The sequence below is a fragment of the Homo sapiens genome, chromosome 5 (assembly GCF_000001405.40).
Source record: "Homo sapiens chromosome 5, GRCh38.p14 Primary Assembly".
In the NCBI taxonomy this organism is placed as follows: Eukaryota; Metazoa; Chordata; class Mammalia; order Primates; family Hominidae; genus Homo; species Homo sapiens.
In genome coordinates this window covers 139728341-139736241 of record NC_000005.10, presented here as the reverse complement: position 1 = coordinate 139736241, position 7901 = coordinate 139728341, and positions in this window count along the sequence as shown.

Below are 7901 nucleotides of genomic sequence, written 5' to 3'. Positions count from 1 at the left end.
GATATGAAAAGCTCATTGATATGGTTTCAGGCTCCAAATGATATTAACCTTTAGGAAACTACCACTTGTCAAGTTTTGGTGTAGTATCAAATTATCCCAAAAGGCTAATAAAGCACTACTCACTCTTCCAACTATAAATCTGTGTGAGGCCAGGTTTTCCTCATATACTTTAACCACAACAACAACAAAATTATGTGCCTATCTATAATCACCACCGATTCAAAGTAAAAGCAGATATGAGAATCCAGCCCAGCCCCACGAGGCCTGTTTGCTCTATTAAGCCAGATATTAATGAGATTTGCAAAAATGTAAAAACAATGCCACTCTTCTTGCTCATTTTGTTTTATTCTAGAAAATAAGGTTGTTGTTTTTCTTTTTCTTTTTTTTTAATTGAGACAGAGTCTCACTCTGTCACCCAGGCTGGAATGCAGTGGTGCAATTTCGGCTCACTGCAACCTCTGCCTCCTGGACTCAAACGATTCTCATGCCTCAGTTTCCCGAGTAGCTGGGACTACAGGTGCATGCCACCACACCCGGCTAATTTTTGTATTTTTAGTATAGACGGGGTTTCACCATGTTGGCCAGGCTGGTCTCGAACTCCTGACTTCAAGTGATCTGCCCACCTCGGCCTCCCAAAGTGCTGGGATTACAGGCATGAGCCACTGAGCCCAGCCAAGGTTGTTATTTTTCATAAAAATATATTATCTATGATAACAGGTAATGGTATTATTACTGTTATTTTAAAATGAATTATTATTGGCCAAGCATAGTGGCTCACATCTGTAAACCCAGCACTTTGGGAGGCCAAGGCAGGAGGATCACTTGAGGTCATGAGTTTGAGACCACCCTGGCCAACATGGTGAAACCTCGTCTCTACTAATACAAAAATTAGCCAGGCGTGGTGGTGCATGCCTGTAATTCCAGGAGACCAAGGCATGAGAATCGCTTGAACCCGGGAGACAAGGGTTGCAGTGAGCCAAGATCACACCACTGCACTCCACCCTGAACGACAGAGTGAGACTCTGTCTTAAAAGAAAAAAAATTAGCAGGGCATGGTGATGTGAGCCTATAGTCCTAGCTACTCGGGAGGCTGAGGCAGGAGAATCACTTGAACCAGGGAGAAGGAGATTGCAGTGAGCTGAGATCATGCCATTGCACTCCAGCCTGGGTGACAGAGCAAAACTCCATCCCAAAATAAATAAATAAATAAAATGAATGAATAAATAAATATCTGTTTTTTAAATTTTCCCAGTCTGAATTTCTAATATGGTAAATCTTGATGGATATAACCCATGTAAACAAAAGTTCTTTGGGATCCTTAGTAATTATTAAGCATGTAAAGGAGTCCCAGGAACAAAAAGGCTGACAGCCGCTGGTCTAGTGGTTCCAGGGTGGGAAAGACAGGGATAGGCCTGCAGAAAGCCTGGATCAGCAGAGGCAGGCAGGGACCAAAAGGGGCTCCCAGAGAGAGAGTGCCTTTGAAGTCTGGGGTGGGCAAGGGTGAGGGAGAAGGACTTGGAGCAGGGCAGGGACCACATGACTTCAGGGCAAGGGGTTCTGGCAGAGGCTTCTGGGAGTCCCTGACTTCTCTCTGCTGCCCCTGTAGGGGTTGTATGTAGGGGAAGGCCCCAAACACACAACAGACCACCACACACGTAGAGCTGAAACCCAGCCCCCGAGCTCCCACCCTCCCCAGAAGGCTTCCACCCTGCCCTACCCCCAACCCAACCCTCACCCTCACCCACGAAAAGGATTTGGGCCTTAAAATTATCGTCACCACAGCGATGCAGCAGACAATACAGAGGGGACATTATGCGCTGAGACAGAGAGGCCTCGTTGTTGGCGCAGCAGAGACAGCAGTGCTCTGTTCTGAGCAGGCTAGGGGCTGCTCATGTGCTCAAGCGCTCAAGCAAGACCCCTCACACCCAGAATCACGTCCTCACCCAAATGCACACTCACGGACTCACCCCGGGATACCCCTCGGGTGCATGCTGTGGCACACAGGAGCCTTTGGATGTCCCCCTCCAGCCTCTGTGCAAACCCCCACTCACCACTACCCGCTCTGGGCCCACACCGCCAGCCCCACACATGCCCATGTACTCCGTGGCACAGGCTTTCCCACCTGGGGAACCCCATGGGGGTGCAAGGGACATGAGGCAGCCACAGGGCCCTGAGGAAGTGCACCCTGCCTGCACTGCCCTGCACCGCCAGGCTGGGATCATAGGGCACTGAAACCAGCAGCCGCCTAGGCTGGGCTAGACGTGCCTGGACCCACAGAGGGACACAAAGGCGGCATTGTTGCTTTGCCAAACACTCCCAGCTCTGAAGTGGGAGGGAGGGACCTGGGCAACTGGCGCCCCTACCCCCAGCTCCTGGGCTGGCCCCAGAGCAAGACTGGACTTAAACCTCTTAGGCCACTACCAGTGCTTGGGCCAGAGGGCAAGCGGGGAGAAACTCAGGCCTCAGGATAAAACCTGCCGGAAGAAGGCTCCCAAGCCCAGAGTTTGAACTCTACCGGGGTCTTATTTCTCCTGAGTCAGGATCTCTCTCCCTCCCAATATTTGCACAGCTTGTTCCCTCTGCCTGGGACCTCCCTCCCCTCCCCTTCTCTGGAGAACTTTTCATTTTCCTTTAGGACATTGTTCAGAGAGCACCTTCCCCAAGAAGCCCTCCTGATCCCTGGGCTGAGCCAGTTGCTCCTCTGTGCTGCCCCACCAAACAGGGAGTTCCAGATGCTCACAGGGAGGTCCCCAGCACCACACCGCCCTGCCCAGCCTGGGGTGGGCTCACAGGGAGCCGCAGCACCATCAGAGGAAGGGGTAAGTGGGCAAGGCTGGGCCATGGACACAGTCACATCTCAGGTTGAGGCCTGAGCAACCCCAAGACCACGCTGAGGCAGCGGAGGGAAGGGGGCAGAGTTACCAGGCCAAGTCTTAGACCAGGAAAGTCACCAGCCACCCCATCCAGTGACACGGAAGGACACAGGGGAGTTCCCTGGAGAAGCCTGCCATCAAACATGCAGGCCGTCCTCCTTGCCTCGGACCTGCTTTCTCACCCATTGCCAAGTCCGACTCATCCAAGTGGTAGCTGTTTTTATTTATTTATTTATTTATTAAGACAGAGTCTCGCTCCGTCACCCAGACTGGAGTGCAGTGGCGCAATCTCAGCTCACTGCAACCTCCACCTCCCAGGTTCAAGTGATTCTCCTGCCTCACCCTCCCGAGTAGCTGAGATTACAGGCATGCGCCACCACGGCCAGCTAATTTTTGTATTTTTAGTAGAGACGGGGTTTCACCATGTTGGCCAGGCTGGTCTCGAACTCCTGACCTCAAGTGATCCACCTGCCTTGGCCTCCCAAAGTGCTGGGATTACAAGTGTGAGCCACTGTGCCTCGCCGGTAGCTGTTTTTATATTTTATTTAACGCTTACAGAGCATTTACTATGTGCCAGGCACTGTTCTAGTGGATTTACATGTACATATTAACTCACTGAATCCTCACAACAACCTTTGAAATAGTACTATTATGATGCCTATTTAAAAAAAATTTTTTTAGCCGGGCGCGGTGGCTCACGCCTGTAATCCCAGCACTTTGGGAGGCCGAGGTGTGTGGATCACCTGAGATCAGGAGTTAGAGACCAGCCTGACCAACATGGAGAAACCCCACCTCTACTAAAAATACAAAAATTAGCCAGATGTGGTGGCCCATGCCTGTAATCCCGGCTACTCGAGAGGCTGAGGCAGGAGAATCGATTTAACCCAGGAGGCGGAAGTTGCGGTGAGCCGAGATCGCGCCACTGCACTCCAGCCTGGGTGACAGAGTGAGACTCCGTCTCAAAAAAATAAATAAATAAAATAAATTTTAATTTTAATTTAGAGAGGGAGCTCTCCCTATGTTGCCCAGACTAGTCTTGAACTCCTGGCCTCAAGCAATCCTCCTATCTCGCCTTCCCAAAATGCTGAGATTAGAGGTGTGAGCCACTGTATCTGGCCTTATTATGCCCATTTTAAAGATGAGGAAAGTCAAGCACAGCAAGGTTAAATAACTCTTCCAAGGTCACAGGGCTATCATTGGAACCCAGCAAGTCATTTCTTTCAGGCAGCCTTCCCCAGCCTCTCAAACCAGATCAGGAGCCTTTGTTGTGAGCATCCCCAGTCCTAAATCCATCAGGTGTCACTGGTTTGGCTCCCTTCTTCTGATGGTGACCTGCTTGAGGGTTCCCATAGGGATATATTTTTTCTGGGTCCCAGGAGTACAGCCTCTAGCAGAACACCTGGCTCATGGGTTATTGACCGAATAACCAAAAACATAAGAAGGATGGCTGGACTCCCACTACTCAAGGTGGGAGGGGATAGGGGGTGCCCAGAAAGGCCTAAGGAGCTCTCTCCCCTCCCCACACCACACACCATCTGCTCTGCCACTTGCTGCAAGGCCTCTGCTGTCCCTGGGTACCTGGGGCTATGGGAAGCTGGGGAGGCAGAAAAGGAGAGACTACCAGGCCCACAGGGACACCTGAAGGCCCAGCTGCTCCCAGGTCTCCATGTCCCTCCAGGCAAAGGGTCTCTTGAGATTCTCAGGCACCATGAACCAAAAAGAGAGAGTCGTTTTCGGGTCTGCAGCACCATTGTTCTCTTCTTATACCCAAATTTCCAGCCAACTGGTTAGTTTTTCTAGCTTCCAGCTAAGGTTTCCAAACTGCTGCTCAGACCCCAGCCAGTGGAGAGATGTGGATGGAGAGGGGCAGCTGCACTTGGTGGACCAGCCAGACTGCCGGGGCTCACACTTCAGTGTTGTCCTCTGGACAGAGCCCCTTCCTCTAGAAGCCCTACTTCCATTGGCTGTGGCCCCAACAGGAAACACAACCAAGCTCCAGCCTCTCATTGACTGTCTCTTGCACTTCTAAAGCTGTCAATATCCACACCCAGAAAAATAGCCCCAGGATAGGCCCCCCTGGCACTTCAGTCCAGACTTCCCAGCCCTGAAATTGGGCTGAGTGAGCACCCTACAAAATGGGCAGAAAAATGTTGCAAATATTTTTTATTTATTTATTTTGTCACTTCGTCACCTAGGCTGGAGTGCAGTGGCACGATCATGGCTCATTGCAGCCTCAACCTCCCAGGCTCAAGTGATCTGTCTCAGCCTCTGGAGTAGCTGGGACCATAGGCCTGCATCACCATGCCCAGCTAATTTATTTTATTTTTTTATTTTATTCTTTATTTATTTATTTTTTTGGAGATGGAGTCTCTCTCTGTTGCCCAGGCTGGAGTGCAGTGGCATGATCTCGGCTCACTAAAACCTCCGCCTCCCAGGTTCAAGTGATTCTCCTGCCTCAGCCTCCCGAGCAGCTGGGATTACAGGCACACACCACCATGCCCGGCTAATTTTTTGTATTTTTAGTAGAGAATTTCACCATATTAGCCAGGACGGGTCTCAATCTGACTTCGTGATCTGCCCCTCTCAGCCTCCCAAAGTGCTGGGATTACAGGCGACTAATTTTTTTTTTTTAATTTTGTAGAGACAGGGTTTCACCATGTTGTTCTTGAATTCCTGGACTCAAGGGATCCACCTACCTCAGCCTCCCAAAGTGCAGGGATTACAGACATGAGCCGTGGTGTCCAGCCAGGTTGCAGATCTTTAGGAGGAGTCCCTGTCCCATCTCCTACTTCAAGGTGTATATTTCCCGGCCTACCCAAGGGTTAGCTCATCTGTTAATGGTACTCAAACCTGGTGTCATCTGTGAAGGTGACTGAGGACAACACCTCCATGAAAGGAGCTGAGGTCTTCCCAACCCTCATGGAGGGGGGGTGTGTGTGTGTATGTGTGCACGTGCATGTGTATGTGCATGTGTGTGGCTGGACAGAGGCAGCTCCCAAATTCCTATTCAGTAAGGACTTCAGGTAGCAGTCTATTTGAAAGGGAGCTGAGGGCCTTGCTTGAAGCTATGTGTATAACCGCTGTTTGTACTTAAATAAAAGGTTATACAGATCAATAAAAATAGCAACGTTTTCTAAAATGCTTCATATAAAATGAAGAAAATGCCAGTTGCCCATATAAAACAATTAATTATTGAGCTGGGTGCAGTGTCATGGACTGTAGTCCCAGCTACTGGGGAGGTTGAGGTGGGAAGATCTCTTGAGCTTAGGAGTTGAAGGTCAGCCTGGGCAACACAGTGAGACCCCATTTCAAAACAAAAAATTAATTATTGTTATTATGATGATAATAGATTTCATGAACACCAAGGACCTTCAAGTCATTTCCCTTTCCCCCACCTGGGTGCAAGGGCTGCCTGGACTGAATCAGGCCACATCCTTGGAAATGTAAATCAACCTCAACTTCAACTAAAAAAATATGCTCCAAGCCACAAAGCCCTGGACTGGTCCTGTGGGGAAGAGAGATGTGATGAACCCTTAGATCTGCCCTCTCGGGTTGGATACCCACTATGTTGGACACATTTCACCATCCTTTAGGACCACCCTACAAGGGAGCAGTGAACTTCTTGCTCATTTTTTTTCTTTAAAGATTGGGTCGGCCGGGCGTGGTGGCTCACGCCTGTAATCCTAGCACTTTGGGAGGCTGAGGCAGGCAGATCACCTGAGGTCAGGGGTTTGAGACCAGCCTGACTAACATGGTGAAACCCTGTCTCTACTAAAAATACAAAAATTAGCGGGGCATAGTAGTGGGTGCCTGTAATCCCATCTACCCAGGAGGCTGAGGCAGGAGAATCGCTTGAACCCAGGAGGCAGAGGTTGCAGTGAGCCGAGATCGTGCCATTGCACTCCAGCCTGGGCGACAGAGCAAGATTCCATCTAAAAAAAAAAAAAAAAAAAAAGGGGGTCTTGCGGCCGGGCGTAGTGGCTCACACCTGTAAGCCCAGCACTTCGGGAGGCCAAGGCAGGTGGATCACCTGAGGTCAGGAGTTCAAGACCAGCCTGACCAACATGGTGAAACCCATCTCTACTAAAAATACAAAAACTAGCTGGGCGTGGTGGTGCGTGCCTGTAATCCCAGCTACTCAGGAGGCTGAGGTAGGAGAATTGCTTGAACATGGCGGGGCGGAGGTTGTAGAGAGCTGAGATCACACCATTGCACTCCAGCCTGGGCGACAGAACGAGACTCTGTCTCAAAAGAAAAATAAGATGGGGCCTTGCTTTGTCACCCAGGCTGTAGTGTAGTGGCACAATCATGTGTCACTGCAGCCTTGACCTCCCTGGCTCAAGTTATCCTCCCACCTCAGCCTCCAGAGTAGCTGGGAATACAGATACATGCCACTATGCCTGGCTAATTTTTTAATTTTTTTAGAGTCAGGGTCTCGTTATGTTGCCCAGGCTGGTCTCGAACTCCTGGGCTCCCAAATTGTTGGGATTACAGGCGTGAACCACCACACCCAGCCTAAAAGACTCGCTTTGTCACCCAGGCTGGAGGGCAATGCACTGCAGCCTTGAAGTCCTAGGCTCAAGCCATCCTGCCATCTCAGCCTCCTGAGTTATGCTGAGCATTTTAAATTCATCATCTATTTGCTCCCCACTACAGCCCCAATTTATTAATAAAAAACAAACAAACAAACAAAAACTCTGAGGCTTATAAAGTTTGTTGCCCTCCCAAGATCACAGAGCCAATATGTAATACAAATAAGATTTAAATCCAGGCCCCAGGCCAGGCACAGTGGCTCATGCCTGTAATCCCAGGATTTTGGGAGGCCAAGGCGAAAGGATCACTTGAGCCTGGGAGTTCGAGACCAGCCTGGGCAACATACGGAGGTTCTGTCTCTACAAAAAATATAAAAATTAGCCGGGCGCGGTGGCTCACGCCTGTAATCTCAACACTTTGGGAGGCCGAGGCGGGTGGAACACGAGGTCACGAGATCAAGACCATCCTGGCTAACACGGTGAAACCCCATCTCTA